Here is a 27,496-nt window from a genome sequence, read left to right on the forward strand (position 1 = left end):
TGCTTTCTTCACTTTTTAAAACTACTACTCTTTTTTGTATCTTCTTTCTTTTAACTTTCTAGTATTTCCTTTGAAAGAGCTGAATTTTCAAAAATGTCATTAGCCAGTGAGAATACTTCTTTCCCTGGTGGACAAACTAATGATAGCATCTTTGCTGTAACCCCTTTTATTTCCATAATTATCATTTTTACAATGTTTTGCTTAGATCGGTTACCAGGTTACATATAGTGAAAAAAACAAAATTCTTTTTAGTTTTTTTCATTTGTTTGAGTTCTTCAATTCAAAAAAGATCATATCATTAGGTAATGTGGTCACATTTTATGTTCTACCCAATGAAATGGTTATAGGAATAACCATTTTATGTATGAAAATTCATGTTTTAATGAAATAGTTTACATTTTGCCTATAGTTCTTTCTCCCTATATGTTTTTGTCCCAGTGTGTTTCAATGCTTTCACTCCTTAACAGCTCCTTTCTAAATTTCCATATTATAAAGATGTAAAAACAGCTGTTGTATTGAGTCTTCATAAATGCAATCTGACCCTAACGAACAGGAGAAATTAGAAAGGGCTGCTTATAGACACATTCAGAACATCTATTTAATCAGTGACAATGAAACATATAATTAACTTTAAAAGGAAACAGCAACATAACAGTGCACTTTGAAGGACAAAGCCTTCATGACATCTCTCCTCTAGCTGAACACAAAGTTAAACACCCACACGTACACAAAAATAGCTGTCTATAAAGTGCCATCTGTGATGCTTAATATTTTGGAGGTGGGTGCGGGGGCAGTGGGGAAAACTTATGTGAGGTAAACCAACATGTGTTAGACATCAGCAAAAGATGAGGCAGTCAGAAACATAAGCCTTAACCGCAAGTCCTATAGTATAAACAGCAATAACATTAACAGTTACCCAAACAAAGAAAACATAAAGAAATCTTTCCATAAACACAAAACAAAAATGTGTTCAGACAAATGTATTTCTGTAGTGTCTGGAAAGCAAGGTTGTTTAGTATTGCTGTAATTATCACAATTACCATTTTCCTGGGAGTGAGAAGGTTGTTTTTGTTTTCTTAAGTTATTGTAATTGCACATTAGTGAGTAAAGACAGTCCCCTTAGGTAAACACCAATCTCATCTTGTGTGTGTAAACATAGATTAAGGCATTTTAATAAGTTCATTCATTATCCAGTTGAATAGGGAACTTGCTGTACCTGTTTGAACAGAATGAAGAGAATAATGCATTTGATATTGCAAAGGTGCTGGATAACTAGAACGGGCAGTATGGAAATGTTCCATTTGTAGGCTCTATTTAGAATGAGCTTCTGAAAAAGAGCCGTAGTCTGAATCAAACTACAAGTGTCATGGTTCTCTCTAGTCTTATAAACAAACTAAATTTGATCTCTTGCTTCAAGATTTTCATTTCTCATATTTGAAGGAAAGAAAAGCATTGATATGTCATTAAGAGTGGGGGTCACCCTTGATGAAATGTGATGTTTGGGAGCAACTCATCTAACTTATTTATGTTTAAAAATAATGAGCTACAGAAATTCGTTGCAATCATCTTGAACCAAAAGGCTACCATGACCTAGATGATTAGGCATATTTCCTATGGATATAGGATCCGAAGAAGGCATAGACAGGGAAAGGCTGCTTATGCCAAAAAAAATGATACATATGCCTAAAAGCAAAAGTGAAGAAAGAGGGAAAAATTGTGGATGGTTGTTCTTGTTTAAAAACGTTCTAAAAGATTTTAGTAATGAGACTGGGGACATAAAAGAATTGAAGTATAGTGCTAAGTCATGAAAGACAAACTTTGAGATGAAAAGAATCTAGAGTTGAAAATAAAAACAAGATTCTTACTTTTTCTTTCCTTTACATGCCTTTGAAATTCAGAGCAGTGCTCTGGTGGACAGGAATATTAACAATTGGAATGCAAACTGAGTTGGTATAATAAGAAATATCAAAACTTTCATTTTAGTAATCAGACTCGAGTCACAGAGGACAGCCCTGCTTGAAGCCCATTAACACATCATAATAACAACCACCTGATGTAATGAAAACAAATGAATTCCAAAGAAATAGAAAATGTAAGAGTGGGTCATTATTGCACACACTAATGAGGAACAGACTTTACCTGTTGTCTTGGGTTCCAAAGACATTTTTCAGTCCACCGAGGGCATTTACAGCAGGAAAAATTTCATTCTTGTTTGGAAATTCTCTTTGGAACATCTTACGGGACAATTTTCTTGTCTTCAGCCTTTTTGTTTCAATTTTGCTACCTAAAATTTCTCTCTGTTGCTCATTACTTTATTTATAATTTTATAGAAAACAAGGATGTGAGAGATCAGGGAGAGAAAAAGCAAAGAGCTTAAAACATTATTGTTCTAAGTCAAATAGCTCAAATAATCAAGACATAAAATATCAGAAAGGACTTTACTCTTATTTATCACATTCCATTTCCTAGATTTTTTTTTTTGTCATTACTAATGACAACCATTCCTGGCACAGTGTTTCAGAAAGGGATGAGTGCAAACCTTGGAATTTGTGTGGCTTTTGGTAACTTGGGATTCTAATCTGTTATATGGGGTAAATAATGACAGTTCATGCTTTAATTCCATGTTGGTTATGAGGATCAAATTGTATGTCTTCCTACACATCTCTGCCCAGCTCCTGACACCATAGGTAGTTTAAAGCAATTTACACATCAACAGCTTCAAAGTCCCCCTACCGTCTCTCCTTCTTTTCTCAAACCAGCTCCAACACCACCCCTCACCATCCACCCTGGAGACAACTTCATAATATTACAATTTAGAGTTTGTCTTTCTCCCAATCTCTGAGCCATTACCCAGCCACTTCTCAGCTGAGAAAAATTGGCACATATGTGACATATTCCCATTGTATTTTGGGCTAAGATATAGGCAAAGTAGGCTAGAGTAATGCACATTTCTTCTCAACTAGTTGCAATTTGACTCTTTTCTTTTGTAGGAATAATCTTGTTTTAGGATTCTTTGTGCCTAGATCAGTGCCTGGAACCTAGTAGATGCTCAAAAGTTTGTGTAATAAATAAAACTGAATGATTTCACTTAGAAACTCTAAAGTACTGTACAAATGTTAGGTGTCTTATTCAAATATCAGATCCTCTTTTGGTTGATTAGAGTTTCTATCCAATGCTGATACCCTGGAATGTCACAAACAAATTCTTCTAACAAAGACAGACATAGACAGATTCCAATTCTCACCCTCTCACTTATTAACAAATCCCAGCACTTTGGGAGGCCGAGGCGGGTGGATCACTAGGTCAAGAGATTGAGACTATCCTGGCTAACACGGTGAAACCCCGTCTCTACTAAAAATACAAAAAAAAAAAATTAGCTGGGCGTGGTGGTGGGTGCCTGTAGTCCCAGCTACTCGGGAGGCTGAGGCAGGAGAATGGCGTGAACCCAGGAGGCGGAGCTTGCAGAGCCGAGATCATGCCACTGCACTCCAGCCTGGGCGACAGAGCAAGTCTCCGTCTCAAAAAAACAAACAAACAAACAAACAAAAAAACACAAGGACAGACATAGATAGATTCCAATTCTCATTCTCTCACTTATTAACTTTATGTTATCAACTTTATGTTAATAAGTGAGAGAATAAGTTATGAAACCTCTCTCAAACTCAGTGTTTTTGTCTGTAAAAAGGAGAAAGTAATACCTACCTCCCAAAGTGATAATGTCCACCTGACAGGAGTGCTGTGAGAACTGAGTAGTAGATGACAACTGGCACAGCACCTGGCTCTGAGGAGGCACTCAATCTATCTCCCTTGACTGACTAGATTAGCCTTGTTGGACAAATCTGGGAGACCATGAAGTCTTTTTACATGGCTTTTAAATATATGCCATGCATTTTTTATGCCCTGCGTTTTGGTGTATGATTGTATCCTGGACGAATCCTACCTGTAACCAAATCAGTCATGAAGGTAACTGCATTAGATGGAAAGCTACAAAGCAGAAATGCCAACCAGATCAAAACATTCCTCACTGGCTCACCACAATGCCAAACAAAAACAAAAACAAAAAAAAGGCCCACAGTTGACTGTTCAGAAATCCTTTATCTTGCAAATATACCTCATGGATACAAATTATTAAACTGTTACTAATATTTTAATATAAAATTGTAACACAAAATAATCTCAGATTTGAAAGAGTCCCTAAATGCAGCAAGGGCATGCATTTTACTTTTCTTGGGATAGTTCAAATTTACGCCTGTTTTTTGATACAATTGTTATCAGCAGCCCCGGATACTCTTGTCCTGGTTTGGATAATAAATGGCATGGTCATCCTACCTAAAAATATCTGTCTAGTCTTCATCTCATACTTAAATGCTTTCTACAATACCCCTATCACATGGCTAGCATTTGGCTTGAACCGTTTTTCTGACAGAGAACTTACTACCCCCTGAGAAAGTCTAATATATCATGGTTTTGTTTTGTTAGGTCTTTCTTAAAATAAGATAATTGGGTCTGGTTTTTGCTTCTACCCTTTGGTTCTCACCATAACCTATGGTTATACAGAACAAGTCTGCCTCTTTTCCTGCATGACAGACCTTTGAATATTTGAAGAGAGCAGTTATGTCCTGCCTGAGTTTGCTCATTTTCTGACTTTGAATCCCCATCTCTTAGTTCAATTGTTCTTTGTATAACTGGCCATAGAATTTCTTCACCTTTCTGACTGCGCTTTTCTGAATGCATTACAGTTTATCTTTGTCCATGCCTAAGTGAATTGCCCAGAAAACAACAACATAATACAACTATGGTTTGCCTAATATCAAGAAAAGCATGACCAAGAACACTGCCTTGGGGTATTATGTTTCTAATAACTAAACTAAAAATCCAGTAGTTGTTCTGATCATCACATCAAACTATTATATTTTTTAGAAATTATTTTCCAAAAACAAAGCCATGCTTTCTCCATTCCAGTAATTGTGAAAGTGAGATTTTGGTATTCACAGTAGAGAGTGAATTTGCTTTGAGGAATCAAGGCATTGAGAGGACACAGTTGTTAAGAAGGAAAGAACTTGTCCGGGAAGGGAAAGTTTGAATGTTTTCTTCGTGGGTGGGAGTATAGCAGAAGGACCCAAATCAATAAAGAACAGGAAACTTGCTGTGGACAACATTATTAGTGTGAGCCAATGCTTCAGATTTTCATCCCTTTCCTGGACCAAGGGAAGATTAACTTTTGTGCAGGGCCATGTGCCTAGTGATGGCCAGTGGGTTTTGATAAGGGGTGATGAACATTAATTTGAGGTATGCGATTTTTCATGTTTCCTTCCACTACTAAGTAGATTCCTGAAGCATCATGTTGAGGTGGAGTTGTCACTATATTAACACAGTCTGAAACACTAAGCCACCATATGGGAACACCTGTCTTGGACAGTCATCCACTTTTACACTTGTTAAGGCCTACACTGACTGTGTACTTGTTATTAGAGGAGGTCTGAGTCTATATACATTGAGGAGATAGTCAACACATGATTCATGGCTTCCATTTACTAATCACTTACCAAGTGATAAGCGCTGTACTGAGCACTATCCATAGATTTTCTCACTCTGTCTTTCTAATTATCCCCAAGACATGCATTAGTTCTAATATACAAACACCAGAGGTGAGGTTAGTTCTTAAGAGGTTAGCTAGCTAGTTTTTGAATGTGGGTCTGTATGGTGTCAAGCTCTGTTCTCGCTGCTGCATTATGCTGCTCTTACACACTTAGCTATACTATTTTGGTGTCCCTGTTGACAAGATGAAGGCGATTATGTTAAGTGTGAAAAGAGAATACATTAGTGATTCATTCAACAGTTCAATCTGCCTTTCAGTAAGCTTTTATTGAGCAATAATTATAAACTTAGTGCAATCCTAGAGATTAGATATAAAGATAATTAAGCTAAGGCTCCTACCCCTCTCACCTATCTTTTCTTCCTTTCTCTTTCCTTCATTTTATTGGGTCACAATTCTTCCATAGGTTTTTTCCCCCTTTTTTAGAGATGCTCCCTATGTTGCCTGGGCTGGACTCAAACTCTCAGGCTCAAGGATCCTCCCACCTTAGCCTCCTGAGTAACTGGGACAAGAGATGCATGCCACCGTGCCAAACTCCTTCCCATTCTTAATATTCCTTCCAGTGAAATGAGTTCAATTATTGTAACTCTGGATATCTCTATAATTTTACTCACTCTGTCTCTGGGTAAGAAGAATGATGTAACGGATTGGTCGTTTTGGGTAAAATAACTAAATATTCTCAGTCCACCTTCCTTTGTTCTTCTTCTTGGGAGGGGACTTGACTTCTGGAAGCTCAGTTCTCCTCTCTTCTTTACTGTTTGTCTTTTCTGTGCTAATTCCTTCCACCTGGGAAGGCCTGTTCTAACTCCATTTTCCCTATGAGGGAGTGAGCTAATCAGTCTAATTTTGGAAATTAGTGGCCAAGCTCATTTGACTCTGACATTAGTCAACCTTCTCTAACATAACTTCTATTAATAATAAAAAGTGCCATTTTGGCCTCTGTATTAGTTTTCTATGGTTGTACAAGAAATTACCACAAACTGCAAGGTAGAAACCAACACAAATGTATTTTCTCATGGTTTTTGTAGGTGAGCAGTCTCGATATGCTATCTAGCTCATTTCTCTGCTCAGGATCTCACTAGGCTGAAATCCAGAAGTTGACTAACGTTGCAGTTCTCATCTGTGCTTAGAGTTCTTCTCCTTGCCAACTGGCTGTTGGAAGACTTCATTTCCTTGCTGGCTTTCAGTTTGGGGCTCCAGACAGCATCTAAAGGCTGCCCATATTTCTTACCCCACAATCTCCTTCATCTTTATGGCAGCCATAGCAACTCAAATCCTTCTTTTGCTTTGTATGTCTGGCTTTGATGACTGACCAGAGAATACTCTTCGCTTTTAAAGGGCTCATGTGATCGTATCAGCCCACTTGGATAATCTCCCTATCTTAAGGCCAACTATGCCATATAACAAAATCTAAACGCAAGAGTAAAATTCATCATAGTCACAGTCCCAGAGATTATGCAGTACATGTATTCTGGGTGTATGTGTTGCAGTGAGGAGGAACTTGAGGGTCACCTTAGAATTCTGACTATTGCAGCTTCCATCTTTTTTTTATTATATTTCTCAGACTGTCTAGAAGTGATGGAAGAGGAGTAGATTTTGTTTATTGGGATTCCCTTAATGCTTTTGATAATTTCTTTTTTTTTCCTGTCTCTATTGTTTATGTATCTTCCTCTTTTTGATGATAGAAAACAAAAGAAAAATTGACCACACATAAATAACATATTCACACACACACAAACTTATATTTTGCATTCTAATTGGAAGAATGAAAAATTGCAAAGGTTAATGAATATATTGAAGCAGCAATTCCTGGAGCTGGGTAAGAATGGAGAGGAGTTGGAGAGGACTTATGGAGTAACTGTTCTATCCATAGTGTCAGCTTCATTCTTTCTTTCTTCTTGGAATTAGAATCAAATGGTTGTCAAAGGAGCACTAACCCTAACCCTAACCCTAGCCAGAATCCCCTTTAGGTGTGCCTAAATACAGGCATACCTCCTTTTATTGGCTTCTTCCTTAAATCCAAAGCTTCATTTTACAGTTTCTCAATAGGTTTCTTATGACAAAGTTTTACTATGACTCTTTCTTTACATGCAGTCTGCCTACAAGAAATTATTCAAAACTTTCTCAGAATGAAATTCCTGGGATTTAAGGGTCCCTTCATATTATCTCCATATTTGTTATATTGCAAGACCTTAAATTTAAAAATATATATATCTACTAGGCTATGTACAAATTTACAATTTTAGGCCTGGCAGGTTAGTTAAGGAAAGGCCGTGATTTATTACACCGACACCACTGACATAGGTAGCTAGAGCTCCTTATGTACAATACTCTTAAAACCTCTGAGATATTCATAGCACAGTCTCATTTTACATAGAAAAAAAGTTGTCAAGACCTTGTGGCTAGTCAGAAGTGAGAAAAGACAATGACGAATGGAAATACATATTGTTTTATAATAACTTTTCTGTTCACTGGAAGAAAACACCATGTTAATTACTGAATTGAATGTGAACACTAAGTTGTTTTGTAAGACGCTTACTATGAAGAGCTTAAATAAAAGCAGAATCATCTTTGTTTATAAAATGCAAACTATGAATTCACCTAAACTCATACAATCTATGAGAAACTATCTAAAAATATTCACTTCTATAAAAGATGGGTATTGCTGGTGAGAGAGATTTGATAACTAAATTAATTATACTCCATCATTTGAGCCCATGACATAATAGATGACAACATTAAATGATCAAAATGTATGATTTTTCTGTAAAAACACTCAAATAAAAAAATAAAATGATTCTGGCAAATTAACTGGAAATACGACATACCTTCTTTTATTGCCTTTCACTTAGCAGTTACTGCCTTTTTACAAAGGGAAGATTTGTGGCCATCCTGCATCCAGCAAGTCTATCAGTACCATTTTTTCAACAGCACATGCTAACTTCCTGTCTCTTTGTAATATTTTGGTAATACTCATAATATTTCAAACTTTTTCATTATAGTGATCTTTGATGTTACTATTGTAAATTTTTGGAGCACCATGATTTGTGCCTGATAAAATCAGAAAATTTAATAAATGTGTGTGTCTGCCTGCTCCACTGACAAGCCATTCTTTCTTCTTTCTCCCTCTCCTCAGGCCTCCCTATTTCCCAAGACACAACGATATTGTATTATAATTATGCCAGTTAGTAAGTAAATAATGGCCTCTAAGTGTTCAGGTGAAAGGAGAAGCTGTGCGTGTCTCACTTTAAATCAAAAGCTCAAAATGATTAAGCCTAGTGAGGAAGGCATGTAGGAAGACGAGATAGGCTGAAGCTAAGCCTGTTGCCACAGACAGTTAGCTAAATTATCAATACAAGAGCAAAGTTCTTGAAATGAAAAGTGTTACTCAGTTGAACACATGAATGATAAGAAAGTAAAATGCCCTTATTGCTAATATGAAGAAACTTCTAGTGATCTGGATAGAAGGCCAAATCAGCCATAGCATTTCTTTAAGCCAAAGCCTAATCCAGAGCAAGATCATAAATCTCCTTAGTTTTATGAAAGCTGAGAGAGGTTAGGAAACTGCAGAAGGAAAGTTGGAAGCTAGCAGAGGTTGGTTCATGAGGTTTAAGAAAAAAAGCCATCTCTGTATGATGAAAGTACAAGATAAAGCAACAAATGCTGACGTAAAAGCTGCAGCAAGTTATTCAGAAGATCTAAGATTCTTGATGAACATGGCTACACTAAGGGACAGATTTTCAATGTAGACAAAACAGTTTTCTAATGTAAGAAGATGCTTTCTAGGACTTTCATAGCTAGAGAGAAGTTAGTGCTTGGCTCCAAAGCTTCAAACAACTGCCCTTCCCTTCCCTTCCCTTCACTTCCCTTCCCTTCCCTTCCCTTCCCTTCCCTTCCCTTCCCTTCCCTTCCTTTCCCTCCCCTCCCCTCCCCTCTCTTCCCTTCTCTTCCCTTCTCCCTCTTGTCTTTTCTTTCTTTCTCCTTCCTTCCTTCCTTCCCTCCTTCCTTCCTCCCTCCCTCCATCCTTCATTTCCCTTTCCCTTCCCTTCTCTTCCCTTCTCTGCCTCTCTAGTTGTGTGAAGGCTGACTCTGTTGTTAGGGGCTGTTGCATCTGGGGATTTGAAGTTGAAGCCAATTTTCATTTACCATTCTGAAAATCCTAGGGCCCTTAATAATTATGCTAAATCTACTCTGGCTGTCTTCTATAAATGGGACAACAAATCCTGGGTGACAGCACATCTATTTACTGAATATTTTAAGACCATTTTTGAAGCCTACTTCTCAGCAAAAAATATTCCTTTTAAAATATTATTGCCCATTAACAATGCTCCCAGTCACCCAAGAGCTCTGGTAATAATGTACAAGGAGATAAATGTTTTCATGCCTGGTAACACAACATCCATTCTTTGGCCTATTAATCAAGGAGTAATTTTGACTTTCAAGTTTTATTATTTAAGAAATATATTTCATAAGGCTATTGCTGTCATAAATAATGATTCCCCGATGGATCCAGGAAAAGTAAATTGAAAACAGTCTGGAAAATATTTGCCATTCTAGGTGCCATTAAGAACATTCATGATTCATGGGAGGAGGGCAAAATATCAACAGTAACAGGAGTATGGAAGAAGTTGATTCCAACTCTCATAAATGACTGTGAGAGGTTCAAGACTTCAGTGGAGGAAGTAACTGCAGTTGTGGTGGAAATAGCTAGAGAACTACAATTAGAAGTGGAACCTGAAGAAGTGACTGAGTAGCTGCAACCTATGATAAAACTTGAATTGATGAGGAGTTACTTCTTACAGATGAGCAAAGTAAGTGCTTTCTTGAGATAGAATCTCCTCCTGGTAAAGACGCTTTGAACACTGTTAAAATAACAACAAGGAATTTAGAATAGTACATAAACTTAGTTGATAAAGCAGCAGCAGGGGTTGAGAGGATTGACTCCAATTTTGGAGGAAGTTCTTCTACTTGAAGTAAAATACTATCAACCAGTATCACATGCTGCAGAGAAATATTTTATGAAAGGGAGAGTCAATCAATCAGACAAACTTCACTGTCTTATTTTAAGAAATTGCCACAGATACCTCAACCTTCAGCAACCACCACCAAGATCAGTAAGCAGCCATCAAAATCAAGGTGAGACACTCCACCAGCAAAAAGAGCCTGACTTGCTGAAGAATCAAATGATAGCATTTGCGGCAGTAACATATTTTAATTAAGTTATACACATTGTTTTGTTAGGTGTAATCATATTGCACACTTAATAGACTTAAAAATACACAGTATAGTGTACACATGAATCTGATATGTGCTGAGAAACCAAAAAATATGTGTGACTCTTTTTTGCAATATCCACTTTATTGGGGTGGTCTGGAACTGAACTTGCAATATCTCTGTGGTATGCCTGTATACCAAAGAAGTTCATAATAATTTCAGAAACGTCCTGCTTCAGGGCTAGTAAGGCAGATCCCAAGATTACTGAATTCCATACACATGCCCAGTGTTGAGTTGGCAAATCACCTTCTAGGTTGAGTGGCATATTTGACAACTGGAGATTATACAACTATAAAATCAAGGCAAACATTGAAGTCCTTTTCTTCCAGGCTTGTTGAAAAGAAATGAAGACTTGCTCTTTTTTTCGTGTATTCTGGGTAGATGTTTAGGGATTGCAAGGATTTCAGCCAACAGAATCTTGTCAAAATTCCTGAATTGATTCTTCATGGCTGTGAGTCCTCATGCTGTGCAGTGTTGGTCACACTGCAGTGCAGAGCATGGCATGCTTCCCACTGGCAACAGGGTGTTAGACCATTGGCTTCTCTCCAGTACTAACAATCATTGCTACTTCTGGGGAAATTGTGCCACCTTTTTATGCTGCATGAAGTGTCTTAAATAGGCATTTAATTTATTCACTGTAACAGTTGCCTTTGTTGAATAAATATCAACTGCTTATTAGAAACCTATTTATTGAAGATGAGCAGCTATATCATAGACACATATCAAATTTATGGTTACTAAATCTCACTTAACATGCTTTGAATATTCTATTGGTCTTTAACACACTGTACCAAGATGACTGTATTTATTCTAACCTTTCAAACAAAAATAGCTGCTATTGAATACAATGTATAATTTTTATTCTCTCAGGCTTATTTATGCAATGTTAAAAACAATGTGATAGGTACCTACTCTATATTACTTGTAGTGGTTAAGAATTTCAATAAATGTGTTTTTAATATTCATTTGATTTTCAATCAACAGAAATTATCTTATTAAATGTGTGAGATATTTATAATATTTATTGTAATATGTTACCCCAAATTCCTCCTAATCTCCTACTAGCTCTCTTGGGAAGAAGTGGAAACTCTGTTATTAGGAAAAGGATTACTTAATTTGTTCCACAACAAAGCCCTGTAACAGGGCTAATCTGGTTGGAGATTCAATTGACAAATTGGCAGCTAGGATTCTCACCCAAGCAACAATGAACGAGAAAGTTTGCTTTTTTCAAATGTGACATGTTCTCTCATTCAAGAAGCTGTCAGCAGTTGTACATGCTTCTGGTATACTGAATAATTGAATTGGGCCATTTTCAGAATACAACACTAGTGTTTTATTATTATTATTTTGTACTATTGGTTATGAAATGAGTGTAGTCTCTCTTCACTGAGGCTGATGAGGCTTTCAGCTGGCAGCTGACATTTCTAAACCTATCATCATAAGAAAGGGCTACCTAAGATCTGGCATTTCCCATTAAAAAGACTGTGAGTTGAGACATCTGTAATTTGAATTGTTTTCTACTGATTATTTTTTGTTTTCTGATTTTTAAAAATGCTAAAAGATTTTTTTTTCTTCAATCTGTCTTACTGGATTCCTTTTAAACAAATGAGTTGTAAGAACAAGCAGCAAAATTTATAAACGTAGAATATATAGATTCTAGCTGTCAGAAACCATGTTGTCTATTTGGGGAGTGTTTTAATATCTCAAAAAACAAACTTCTATACAAGATTGGTATTTTAAAATGAAAATTGGAATTGAATAACTCACAGGAAACAAGATATTTTAGGTAAGAATAATCAAGTTAATTTAGAGTCCTATCTGACCCCTGTAATAACCCCAGTGAGGGTAACTACTTCCCAAAGGGCATTAGGATATTTTCATGAGGTCATCAACAATAAATAAACTATTATACATGTTGTTTTAAATGCTTCCAATGCAATTTATTTTATTATCAAACGATTTGATGGGAATCATCCTTTATAAACATCATGAAACATTTGTTAAAGTTTTTTTTTTTTTTTAATCCTCTGACTCTGTTGATTATCTTCTTCTCTAGACAAGAGTCAGGCATGTTGTAAGCATTATCTGGGGACTGAGCATTTCCTTGCAAGCCATTCTGCAAAGGTCAACAGAGCAAGAGATTATCCCCTATTGGTTATAGAAGTTAACCCATCCACTTCAAAAGAGCCAACAGTTTCTTGCTCTTTGTGAAATCAGTCATAATCAATGGGATGTAAAGATTACATTTCTGCCTCTAGTCACACACCCTGTTTCTTTTGCATTAGTATTGATTTAGTCATGAGTCTATTTAACCATTAAAGGCATTACTGTATTCCCAAATCCTGCATTTAAAGAAATCCAGAGTGTCTTATTGAGAATTAAGAAAACAGACGGGTCTATCTCCCTTAAGTTACATTGGATTGGATTATGTTGAAAAAAAATCACCATTAGGTAGTTATTTATGCACATGGAGGAATTGCCTATGATTTTTGAATAAGTAGAATAGTTGTTTCAATTTTGAGATAATAATAATGATAAAATAAATAATAATATAGTTATTGATTAAATGAGCCAGGCCTTATAGTGAGCATTTTGTACATTATGCATTTAGTCCTCAGAACAAAGCAGTTTATATACCACTTTGCTGATTAAAAAATGGACACAACTAAGTAATTTATGCAGTCACACCACTATTAAGTGTTGACCCTAATATTAAAACTGGAATCTGTCCGAAGACAAACTCAGTACTTTAACCACTATGCTATACTATTTCCAATACTTTAAAATACATTTGGTGTTTTGAAAATTTAGTTGATTTTACATGACAATAAAAGTTGTTGATAGCCACTTCCTGGTGTGTTACTCAGTGTCTTACAGGAATCTGGCCTTTATCCAGCTTTCTTGAAACATTGAACAGCTAGAATAGACTACTTAATTGTATTTTCCAATGATAATTTCCAGCTCAATAGAAAAATATCCATGTGAAATAGTATTTATCACAATGAGTGAAACCACAGTTACTTGCTTCTCCTGTTACTATTTTTGTTTGTTTCTTCAATAGTTAAACTTGCACTGAAATAATACCAAATGTGTGATGTGTTTACAGAAAAAAGGAAGGAAGGAAGGAAAAGAGGAAGGAAGGAAGGCAGGAAGGAAAAATGGAAGGAAGGAAGGAAGGAAAGAAGGAAGGAGATTGAAAGAGAAAGAGAATGAGGAAAGAAAGTAGATGAATTTTGGAGATATTGCTGCATCCTAGCATATGTTTTAATTCTTGAGGTCTTTCTTTGAATATATGACTTGACTGTTTATGGCTATTTGCCTCTATTATTGCGTGTTTGCAAAATGAGTGAAAACAGATTTTAAAATAAAAATAAATTATTGACTCATGCCAAATATGTATTTGGTATTGACAAAGAAACACATTAAGAGCTAATTTCTTTTAATTGAATGTTTATTCCCTAGTTGGCACGAATCCATCTACTAATAGGTTCAATAATTATGTGAATGCATGTGTTAAATTTACATGAATAGCTCTATTGTTGGGAAAAAAATTAACCAAATGTCCACAACACTGCCTTATCTGATACTTTACAGTAATTCTGAAGGAGAATCAGTAGAGACACTGAAACAATGAAATATCTGAATATTAACAATATGATTTTGGATCAAATGCATTTCAGAATCTGAATGAATGAAGAATATGAACAAGGTAAGAAGTCCTTTTTAGGTTTTGGGCAAAATGGAAGTTCCGAAAAAAGACAAAAATATACAAGAAAATTTATTTGGGAAGTGCATATGTAACTCAAGAGTTGACAAGTCATCTAATAGTTTATCTTTTTTTTTTCTTCTTTTTTTGTTGCCTGAACCAGATGGCCCCTCCTTAATTAAAATGAGTGCATGGTTCCAAAGCGTTCATTGCAGTCTCCCCACGGCCCAGTCGTACCACAAATGATTCTCACTTCTGGGAAAATATATTGTCTTCCTACATAACAAGAACCTTTGAAGCAACCTTCCTTGCAACTCAGTCTCCTTCTTTTTCTTAGTCTAATTATCTTTCAAAAATAATCAGAATTGTAATTTAAATATTACTGTACATAATTAACCACACTGGTTGACAGAGAATGAGAAATTGTGGCTCCAGGCAAGCATCAAAATTAATATATACAACTGGGAATACATCTTGTCATGAAGGAATGTCATCTGTCTAGTATGCAGAGAGAAGCTGAGCTGAGCAGTCCGGGCCCTCCTCTGACCGGACCACTATCTTGGGTAAGGTTCATGAAATCCCATGCACAGTCTGCCCAGTCCTACTCTTTCTGATGCTTTGTTTTCTGTTTTTCTTGGTGAAATTTGTCTGAAACTCCCCAATGACCACCTCTTTCATCTTCTTAGAAGTCTCTGGCTTCTTTTAGATGTCAGCATTTGTAGGTAATTTTTTGCTCTTACTGTTTCTATTTTAGCTTTATGGCCAGTTGTGAAGGGTTCTCAGGTCTGGCTCTTTCCCAGGCATATTGTAGAAAGGTGACTTTGCTGTGAACCCTATATTTTAATGCACTGGGGAGGATGTAAAGGCAAATAAGCTGTAATTAAATCTTTGTGTGCCACAGGGCCAAGTATCATCTGAAGGCTGCTGAGTAGTGAGACTGAGCTAAAACGCTGGTTCTTACAAAAGAAACAGGCACCCCATGCATGGCAAGTAGGTTCTTTCTGGTTTTCACCAAAAATTGGGCTTATCAAGATTTCTGAGATATTGTTGTCTTTCAATACCTTTCAGCTAAAGGACCGTGTTGGGCCGTGTAGAAATGATGGATGTCAAAATGATGCCTCTCAATTAGGAATTACCAGGATTTGCCCTCTGAAATTAATTTTAAAGGAAAATATATCACTTTCTTTATTTTTTAAGAATGCAAAAAGCAACCCTAGGCTGTAGCCCAGATTTCCATAAGAAGCAAAAGGAATCAACCGAAGTATTAGTTGAAGAAAGGAGGATAATAAGACAAGGAAAGAAATGAGAATTAGTGATGATTTCACAATCAAGTAGAGTCTTTTGGTTGCCCTCATTGTTAACTTCGTGAACTTTATAATAACATTTTGCCCATGTTTGCATCTTCCCTGCTGGTACAGCATGCTTACTCTTGTGGTCTCTATTCTTTTTGGTGGTGGTTGTTATTTTGTAATTCCCTTGTGTTGGTTTTTTTCCTTCAGAAGAGGCGTAATGTAATGGATCCATTCACCAAATTTTTTAATTTGGTCCATTGCTTCTACCATGAAGGGAAAGCTGAATGCTGACATTTTTCATCGAAATCCTGTGCACCTTTACTGAAAGCGAAAGGAACATAATGGCTCTGGCAGCTATTTCCTAATAAGGTCTTTCCCTTAATGGCCTTAGAAAGTAAATTAGAAAACATGGCTGCAGATTGTGTTTCTTGATCGGATGCATTTTTCTTGCCCAAAGGATGTAGATGCTAGGCAGCATTGCCTCAGTTAGATGCCATCTTCTTCCTCAGAAATGGAAACTTTTATGTAGCTTTCACTTTAAACTGCACAGGAATGTGGATGACTGCATCTAACTGTAAGCAAGTCTGATAATAAGCTGAGCTGATGATGGAAACAACCATTTGTTACGTTTGCCTTTGATTGTAAATAGCATTAAATGTCTCTTTTCTTCCAATGTTTTCTCAAAATTAAGATGTATTTGTTTAGAACTCAAAAAACATTTATCTTTCTTTTTTTAAAACAGAAGCAGCTATAATAGATGACTGTTTTTCCAGTATTTAGAAACCAATTTTACAGATAATTAAATTACTCTAACAAGATTAATCAACTTTTAATATGAAACTGCAATGTTGATTTCATTGTATATGTATTTTATGCTACTCTCATATATGCCAATTAGAAGTTTATGTATATTAAAATACCTATACCCACTTGCACCCATGGCTATTAAACAATTAACCCACTTTTCATGGGTAATCAACCCACAATAATTTGGTTTGGGTGTTCATTACCCAGATTAATTCAAATAAAAAAGACACAGTGAGGCAGAAATTGGATAAGTGGATACTATCTAATCCCAACTGTCTTAATTTTCCATAGGGAAGTCTGAATTGGATTTTGACAAAATACCTCTCTTCATCACAACTCCTCCAATCAAATACAGTGTGATTTTTTTCTATTTCTTAAATTATTCTTCCATGAGTTGTATGTAGTTAATAGTCTTCAAAATTCTGAAGAACTAAGTTATAAAAATCTCCAACTCCTCCACACCCAAACCCTACTCAATTAAAATTTATTTTATTTACATATATTCATATACATAATATACAAAACAGTAAACACAAGAGAGATAGTGAAGCCTTCTTAAAGGTATAATGAATTGACTTTAAATTTTTAGCAAAAAAAAATTATAAAATCTAGCAATGATGCTCAGTTCTTCTGATTTTTTTTTTTCCTTTTATATCCCCCAGCTGCTGTCAGTTAATCAAGGGCCAAAAAAACTCAAAGAACAATATGTGTCACCTCAGGGTATTTGATTTCTTTCATAATTTAACTCCTGCTTAAAAGGCTAAGACATATGTATCTTTATATGATAATCAGTACCTGGGAAGATTAGGATTTTTTATATAAATGGATCTATTCACATATAAAAATATAATTGAAAATAACGCAAATATTCAAACTAAGGGAATTTAAAATAAATTTTGCTGTGCCCATGCAGTATGCATACTTATTTAAAGTGATGTTTTTGAAAACTGTTTAATGACATGGACAATGCTTATGTGTTCCTTCAGTGATTCTTAACCCTCGCTACACTTTACAGTCAGCTAGGGTGCACATAGAAGAATAAATATGAGTAGCGCCACCTCCAGGCATTCTGATTTAATTGGTCTTGACTGGGATCTGAGGTTAAGTGTATTTTAAAATCACAGAGGATTATTATTTTCCATTAAAATCATGATGCCAACTTGTAAATACAGTATACACTATTTTTAAAATACTACAAATGTTCTTGTAGGCAAGAAGGAGATCTAGAAATAAATGTTTTCAAATAATGTGTTGTTGAACTTAGGTAATGCAATTTTGAATAATAATTATTTTTGATTTGGATATATTTTCACACTGGGTATGTGTTTGTTGAGCTTAAATTTATTTAAAATGAAATTAAAGGCAAATAGTATTCCAATGTATATTTGAAAAAGGAATATCTTAGAGATATATACTTGGACAAATTCATCAGAAATATACTGGCATAAAGATTTATTAGTTGATATAATCTTCTTTCTGCACATCCACATACACAAGCACCCAGTCTCTTGTGTTTAGACCATTCATTCACACATCAAAGTATGATGTTACTCTTTGAAGGACTGAGTCATACCCTTTCACATATATCTTTGTCAGAACATAGGAAGCCACATAAGTGAGCATTATATGTAGAAAAACACTGGTGGTTAAGCACATAGATGGTTTTCAATCCTAGCTGTTCTACCTGGAGTGAGCGTTACATTCTAAGACACAGAAAACAACCCAAGAAGAAAGCTTCAGAGAAATATTAGGAGAGTTTAAGGATAGCACTCAAGTCAAATCTTTTTTCTCCCATTTTAAGTTAAAGACACTTATAAAGAATTTTCTTTAAGAGTAATGTAATGCAGATGCATAAATATTTTGTGCATAGCATGAATATTATGTTCTGTAACCACAATTAAGTCTTCTGGGTTTTATTCAGTAATTTAAAAAATAAAGCCATTTTTGTTGTGGCGGTGATTAGTTTTATGTGTCAACTTGACTGGGCCATGGGGTGCCCAGACATTTGGTCAAACATCATTCTGAATGTATCTGTGAAGGTGCAGATTAAAAGTTGACTCTATGGACTGAGTAATGCAGATTGTCCTCACTGATGTGGATGAGCCCCATTCAATCAAGTGAAAACCTGAATCGAACAAAAAGCCTGAGTAGGAGGGAACTCCTCCTGCCTGATTACTTTGAGTTGGAACATAGGTCTTCTGATTTAAACTGAAACAATTCTTCTTGGGTCTCAAGTCTTTCAGCTTCCAAACCAATTTATACTATCAGCTCTTCTGGTTCTGAAACCTTTGGTCTCAGACTAGAACTACATATTAGCTCTTCCGTGTCTCCAGTTTGCTGAATGAAAATCTTGGGGGTTCTCAGCCTCTGTAATTGTGTGAGCTAATTCCCTATTACACACACACATACACACACACATACCCTATTGCCCTATTGGACTGTTTCTGCAGAGGACTATAAACTAATGTCTAATGATTAATACAATTAGTATAGTCATGAAAAAATATTTACTATGCAAATAAATAGTAAAATAGTGTGACTGGATTTTAGTTAATCTATGAGTTGAATATTACTCATCTTAGGCAACTTGAAAGAGACTGTTTCAAATATTAAAGCCTTACACAATTTTTACTTCTACTGAATTGCTTCATATGATGCAAAATTTTAGTTTCATATGTAGACCATGATTGTTTAGTAAATCCTTTAAAAAAAAAGAACACTGGAATTTCTAATGGCTTTCATTTTTTTTCTGTGTTTATATAAGGACCACAAGTCTTCCCCAAAGCCTCAAGAATATTCACCTCTAATTGAAAATCTACTTATTTCCTGAAGACATTCTTCCCAGAGTCCCTTGGCTGTATGTTTTCTATACAAAAGAATTGATTTCCAGTTTTAGTGCATAGCTACTATTCTCATGCCTCAATTTCATAGCATTCCTGAACTAGATCCACTGATCCTGGACTCAGTATCTCCAGATTTTGGATATTCTTACAATATTGATTCTACATATTCTCCAAGAACTCTTTCCCAAAGTATTTTTAGGGAGATAGTTTGGCAATAACACTCTTAAAAAAACCAGACAGTGTGTTTTCTTTATCTTTTTGGTGAAATATAATGTTTCTGAGTACACAGTGTTAGGATGACTTTTTAATTCTTTCTTGCCACTTTAAAGCCGTTGCTCTGATGCCTATTGGTTACTTACATTATAGCTGTTGAAATTCTATTTTTTATTCATCATTCTCAAAGAGATTTTATTTATTTATTAATCTATTTATTTTTGAGAGATGGTCTTGCTCTGTTGCCCAGGCTGGGGTGCAGTGGCATGAACATGGCTCACTGCAGCCTCAACCTCCTGGGCTCAACCAATCCTCCCAGCTCAGCCTCCCCAGTAGCTGTGATAACAGGTTCATGCCACCATACCTGGCTATTTTTTTTTTTAATTTATTTTTTTAGAAACAGGGTCTCTCCATGTTGCCCAGGCTGGTCCTGAACTCCTGGGCTCAAGTGATTCTCCTGCCTCAGTTTCCCAAAGTTTTGACATGGCAAGTTTGAGCCACCATGCCTCACTCTTGGAAGGATTTTAAATGTTTGAGAATGGGAGCAGGGAGCTATTCTGATGTTTAGTATAAATGAGTATTGATTTGAGTCTGTTTTTACTTATTCCACTTAGAATTCATTGGAATTTTTGAAATTGAAAGTGTATTTCTTAATTGGTTCTGAAAAATTCTCATCTATTAACTTCCTGGACATTGCCTTTTCTCCATTCTCTTTCTCTTTTCTATTCTTCTGTGACTTTGATTACAAATAAATTATGTCTCTGGACTCTCGTCTCTTTGCTTCCTGTTACTTCTGTAATCTCTTTTTTATATTTTTCATCCATTTGATTTCTTCTACTGCATTGTTGGTTTATTCTGCTACATATGATAGTCACAAATTCTCTAGACAGCTGTGTCTACTCTGATTCTTAAATCTTATACAATGTTTCTAACCTCAATGATTGTGTAATTTATTTCCAGTAGTTTTATTTGATCTTTTTTTCAAATCTGCTTAAGCATTTCCGATAGTCTCTGATTCCTTGCTCATGTTTTGGACTCCATCATTTATTTCTTTGAATATTTTTGTAAATACTTTATGTTTTGTGTTTGATGATTCTAATATCTGAAGCCCTTGGGGATCTAAATCTAGTATTTATTGTTTCTGCTTTTAATATTTTTCTCACTCATGGTGATTTATTTCCTTGTGTGCTTGATATTTTTCTTTCTATTGTGAGTTCATACTTACCTGGACTTAATCCATAAAAATCCCATGGAGCCTAAATTGACAGGCTTCCCTCTTGAGTGTAAATGTGTTTGTTTCCATTGAAATAATATGTTTTTAATTCGATCTATTATCTTGGAATTTCTTAGACTATAGTCTTTTCCTGGTCACTATAATAAACAGACTCACATGAGATTAGGCCTATAATCACAATTCTCAGAGCAGGCTCTTACTGCTATTTCTGTGATTAATTTCCCAGCTGTACCTTGGCAACCGACATGCTTTCTCTTTAGTTCTCCTTGCTACAAACGGAATATATATAGCATCATCACCTTCAATGAGAGGGAGACACTATTGAGGTATCTAACTTTGTGTGGTGAAAAGGAATCCTCTCCTTCATCTCCTTCCCCTACCTTTTAGGGATCAGAGTCTCATCTAATTTTTCCCAAGTGTTATACTTAACACACAACTGTAGCTCTTAGTGTCCATTTTCACCCAGGGGTACCACAACTTCCATGTTCATTTAAAACTCTGGCTTCAGAATTCTGCTTTTTTTTTTTAGTCCCCAAGAAATTAATTTTCTTATTTTGACATCAGCACATTTAAAGAAAGCTTGTTATAATTTACTAAGGGTTTTGGAAATGGAAGGTTTTTCAAATGATCTGTCTCCTATAATGGTACCTTATGGAATCATTAATACTCTTTCTACACATGAGTGGCCTTAGAATAACTGTTCATTCTTCTCTAGAAAGCACAGCACTTTATGTACTTGAACGTAGCAACTGAGATTGAACCCTTTATATCTTTGTGTGTGTGTGTTAGGCATCCTCCTGACCTGTTCAAAATTTCCCATTTGACATCATTTCAAGTCCACTTAACATACTGAACTATTACCTCTGAACGCATTTCAGTTGGCTCTGTCTATATTTCAATAACTGAGAAACACACTATAGGTAGGTCCTGACAAGAACAAAGCAGAGTATCATGGTCACCTCCCTCAATCTCTTTCATTAATATAGCTTAGGAGTAAGTTTACTTTTTCATGCGCAGTAACATAACATTTCTCTTGTGTTTGTGGTCTCTTAAACCCTTATGTCTTAGATCGTTGCTAATCCACACTTTCCCTTTTCATACTTGTAGAATTGTTTTTACTAAACAGAATGCCATCACTTGATATTTGTCCTTATTAATCTTCATTTTATTGGTTAAAGTCACTGTATTAGGAGTCTAGTTTGAACTTATTTGTTATCTTTCCTAGCTTTAAAGTATTAGCAGTTATTCGATATTTTATATTCTTCCATGTATTTTCTTCAAATTTCATGAATATATTTCAACATTTAATTTTTTATTCCAAATTTCAATTTCCCACCACCAAAGATGTTTCCTAAACCTGTGAGTATGTGTGTGTGTGTGTGTGTAAGTGCGTGTATGTGTGTATGTGTGAGCTGTCCTAGCAATAGATTATTAAAGATGAAATATTACATCAAGGTGAAGATTACGGACTCAGGATAGAAACGTAAAAGAAATAAGATACACATGTAAATGTAAGAAACACAGGCTGGATTAAAATGTAAATTTGCTTTAAATTGTATGACTCCCTACAAGCATGTGCTGGGTTGTCTGGTTAAAAATTAATTTAATTATTTCTAACATACATTTAAGTGTCTTTTAAAAATATGACACACACTGAGGATAGAAGTTGCAGAAAATTGGCTTCATCTCTACCAATCTTTGTCAAACATTCTTTTCTCTCATTACTGCAATTAATTCGGTCAATAATTTTAACTTATGAATTACAAAAGAAAATTTAAACCAAAACATAATTTTCTTTAACTGAATACATTAAAATAACAAGAAGAAGGAATCTTATTTATTCCCCAATTGCATTGGTATTTACTGAGAACCTTCTCCATTGCTGTTACTATTCTAAGTAGTGGAGATGCAGCATTTAAAATCCGTGTCCTTGTAGAGCTTATGAGAAGCCAGGTAATAAACAGTCACATACTGAATAATTAATGAAAATATATAGTATGTCAGCTTGGAGGAAATACCATGATAAAAGAAGGATGGGATGGTGAAATGGTGATATTTTGGGAATAGAGGGCTTGTAATTTTAAATTGATTGTTTAGGAAAAGCTTCACTGGAAACAAAATGGCATTTGAGCAAAGACAATGTAGCTGAGAGAGTGGGTATGCTTAAATGTGGAGAAACACAAGTTCAAAAGCTTTAAGGCATGAGAATATATGGAGTATTCCAAGGTATCTGGAATGGAGTAGGCAAAGAGGAGATTGTTATAATATTATATGAGGTTGAAATGGCAGGGATGAAATATGGCTAGATTCTCATTGCATTTTGAAGGGAAAACAAACAGGATTTATCATCAGATTGGATTACCCATGTGAATGAAAGAGGAATCAATGATGAAAATGAAATTTTTGACCTAAGTACCTGTAATTATAAAGTGGCCATTCAACTGGATGGGAAAAGTTGTAAGATATTTATGTTTGTTGGTGGAAGATCAGGAGTTTATATTAGAAATGCTGATTTTGGCATGTCTATTAGACATCAAGTAGAGATACTAGATGAATAGTTGGATATCTGAGTGGGGAGTTCAGGTGACCTATGTTGTCTATTGCTGCATAACAAACTACCCCAATTTAGTGGCTTCCAATAATAATTTGTTACTACTTCTCACAATTCTGTACATTGTCTGTGCTCAGCTTAGTGTTTCTTGTTTTGAGTATCTCGTAGCTGCAGTTAAATGAAGACAGAGACTGGAGTCATTTGAAGGCTTGACTAGACAGGTGAAGGACCCATTCACATGGTGTGCAGTCCATGCTAGCTGTAAGCTAGGATTCAGCCAGGGCTATTTATAGAGCATCTACACGTGATCTTTCCTTGTGGCTTTGGCTTGCATGGAGGCTGGGTTCCAAGAAAGAGATCCCAGGAGCAAGGGATTGGTCCAAATGCAAGCTATAAGGCTTCTTATAGCCTAACTTCGGAAGTTACACAGCCTCACATCTGCTGTATTCTACTTGTTGAGAGTAATTTCCAGGGTGGGCCGAGATTCATGGGGAGAGAGTTATGCAAGAATGAGAATATCAGTAGAAGTGGCTCAGGAAAGGCCAGTTTTAAAAGTTAGCTACTACAACATGATATACAGATTGAGTGTCATAAGGCATATGGATGGCATTCATTCATAAGACACGATGAAATCAATAAGGCTGTAATACAGAGAAAAGAATAGGACTCTCAGTGGAGGGAGCCCTGAAACACTTTAAGATTTATGGGTTGAGGAAGAAGAAGAAACAAGTAAAGAAGATGAGAAAGAAAGGCCAAAGAGATAGGAGAGGAAAAAAAAACAAACAAACAGGAGAGTGTAGTGCCTGGATGCCAAAGCCACAAGGAGGATGTTACCAATTATGGCAAATGTTGCTGACAGTGCAAGAAGTTGTCAGATAAGACTTGGCCACCCCAGCATGAAAGCCATCAGTATAGCTTCAGTGGAGTCATGAGGAAGAAAGCTTATTGGGATGTTTTCATGAGCCACTTTGATGAGAAGAGCTAGAGGTAGTCAGTCTAGATCGCTTTTTAAAAAATGTTTATATTACAAGGCAGAAGCAAAGGGAAGTATTTGGTTGAGGGGATCAGGAAGTTGAAAGATGAGTTTTTCCTTATAAGGGTATGTTTATACGCTAACAGAAATTATACAATGCAGAGAGAAAAATTGAGAATCTAAACAGGTTAAGCAGAATTGTTGGTTCTTTGTCCTTAAGTAGATGAGAGGACACTCATGGAAGGATGACCTTAGATTTGCAGTGTGAAAAGTTCACACAAAATAACAGGAAGGAAGACAGGAAATATGGACCTTGATGGAGATTGGAGGATAACTGAAGTGGTAGGAGATTTCGGAATTATCTTCTGTTTGCTGGTGTTTTCTCAGTGAAATTGTAAACCAGATCATCACCAGAGAAACAGAATGTGGAATGAAGTGCAGGAGTTTGAGGGCAAGAAGAAATGTGAAATAGTTATTAGAGAGTGAGGGAGACAGTGTGATGACAGTGGACTTGGGACATGTAAGATTATAAGGCAATAGTAAGAATAGGCCTGTAATATAATTTATAGAGACAGATATTTTATAGTTTTATAGAGCAATAGATAGAGATAGTAATGTTGGTGGGGGAAAGAGAGAAAACCTGTCACCACATTCAGTGGGGGTAACATTTTCTTTTTAAGCCGTAAAAAAATATATACGGGCAAAATTTTAGTCTCATATCAGAGCAGAGAAAATTATGTGCACTACAAGAATTGGTTGGAATATCCTTTCTAAAGAATCAAAAATACAGTTGTAGAGTTTTATTACTTTTACAACCTATATTCTTAAAAGCCCTCAAAAGAGGATTTGGAAAAGGAATAGTTGAAAATATATTGAAAAAAAAGTTATTATGGTTAAAACCTTCAGCTTTTGCTTAAAACTATGAAATCACAGGCCCATGAATGAGTTGCTTTCTCTATATTTAATGACATACATAAGTAAGGACAATTGCTTCAGAAGTACTGTGCTAGGCTATTCTTGCACTGCTATAAATAAATACTTGAGATGGCATAATGTATAAAGAGGGTTAACTGGCTCGTGGTTCTGCAGGCTATATAGGAAGCATAGCAGCTTCTGCTTCTGGGGAGGCCTCAGGAAGCTTTCAACCACGGCAGAAGGCAAAGGGACAGTGAAGCATCTAACATGGTGGGAGCAACAAGGGAGGTGGTGCTACACAGTTTTAACCAAATATCGTGATAACGAACTCACTATCGCAACAACAGTACCAAGGGGGATGGTGCTAAACCATTCTAGAGAAACTGCCCCCGTGATCCAATCATCTCCTACCGGGCCCCACCTCCAACATTAAGAATTACAATTTGACATGAGATTTGTTAGGGACACATATGTATACCATATTAGACACATACTTATATAGAGAGATAAACTAGTTTAAAATTATAGAATAAAATATACTAGGTATCTTACTTCAAACGATGATAAAAAATAGTAAAAGCTTTTCAAAGCATGGAAACATGACAGTATGAGAACATTGAATAAACACCAATAGCCATAGCAATCCCGCAAATGGGTTTAGTTTTTGTAGGTTTTTTTGTCTGAAATTTTAGTGTCTATTTCAATTTTTTGGAAAGAAATGATTTTTACAGGTAGCTTAACCTTTACATTAAATACAATATTTTTTTCGTGTAGAAGATTTAGACAATTTCTGAATATGTTTAATGCATTCATTCAAAAACTTATTACTAAGAGCCTATTTGTTCTAGGCACTGTGCTAGATGCCAGATATTCATGAGAAATAAAAGCAGGCTTGATTTCTCCTCTTATGAAGCTCATAAACAAAAGCACACAAAAGAGCATGAAAAATTATGTTTGCTCGCATTACTCAAGGATTAGTCAAAACAAAGAATTTGGTGTGTTTCAATGGGATAGACCTGCTCACTGGTCTGATAACATGACTCCAGCACCTGTTAATTTCTGATTTTTTTTTTTTAATTATAGCCTTTCTAGTAGATGTGTGATATCTCATTGTGGTTATGACTTGTATTTCCCTAATGACAATCATACTGAGTATTTTTAATATTCTTATTGGCCATTTTTATGCTTCTCTGGAGAAATGTCTATTCAGCGCTTTTGCCCAATTTTAAGTTGAATTGTTTGCCTTTTTGTTGTTGAGTTGTGAGAATTCTTTATATATTCTAAATGTAAACCCTTATCTGATGTACAATTTTAAAATATTTTTTCTATTCTGTGGATTGTTTTCTCACCTTTTTGATAATGTTCTTTCATATGCCAATGTTTTTAATTTTGATGAAGTTCAGTCTATTTTTTCCTTTTGTTGCTCATGTCTTTGTTGTCATATTGAAGAATTCATTGCCAAATTCAAGGTCATGAAGATTACTCCAACGTTTTCTTCTAAGAGTTTTATGGCTTAATTCTTAGGTTTAGGTCACTGACCTATTTGAATTAATGTTTTATAGAGCCCAAGATAAGGTTCCACTTCATTCTTTTGTGTATGGAAATCCAGTCATCTCACACCAGCTGTTGAAGAGATTATTTTTTCCCCATTGAGTGAAAAACAAAATCCATTGTCTATAGATATATAGGTTTATTTTGGACTCTCAATTTTTTTTGGTTCATATGTCTATCATTATAGCAGTACTTCCCTATTTTAATTACCATACCTTTGTAGTAAGGTTTGAAATCAAGAAGCATAGGTCCTCCAATTTAGTTTTTCTTTTTCAAGATTGTTTTAGCTATTTGGAGCCCCTTGCCATTCTCTGTGAATTTGAAGATCAATTTTTCCATTTATGCAGAAAAACCTGCTAGAATTTGGAGGGAGATTGCATTGCCATTGTATATGGCTTTGGGTATTACTGCTATCTTAACAATATTAAGCCTTCTTCTTATCCATAAGCATAAGCTATGTTTCTATTTATTAATATTTAGGTGTCTTTTAATTTATTTCAGCAATATCATGTAGTTTTCAGCACATGAGCTTTTCCCTTTT

The 27,496-nt window shown here is 35.5% G+C and overlaps 1 long non-coding RNA gene across 2 annotated transcripts in view; it reads left to right on the plus strand.

Annotated features, from left to right (window-relative positions):
* LOC105378810 (uncharacterized) overlaps positions 1-27,496 on the plus strand; it is a 136,420-nt gene that overhangs the window by 94,725 nt on the left and 14,199 nt on the right. The window contains exons 1-2 of one of the 2 annotated variants that reach the window (XR_001738112.2): positions 10,162-10,407; positions 14,465-14,579. The exons of the other annotated variant lie outside the window; for it this stretch is intronic. This is a non-coding gene — a long non-coding RNA (uncharacterized LOC105378810). Of the gene's footprint in view, positions 1-10,161; positions 10,408-14,464; positions 14,580-27,496 lie in introns of those variants that run through there. 2 annotated transcript variants of the gene reach the window in all.

The sequence above is a fragment of the Homo sapiens genome, chromosome 1 (assembly GCF_000001405.40).
Source record: "Homo sapiens chromosome 1, GRCh38.p14 Primary Assembly".
NCBI classification, from domain to species: Eukaryota; Metazoa; Chordata; class Mammalia; order Primates; family Hominidae; genus Homo; species Homo sapiens.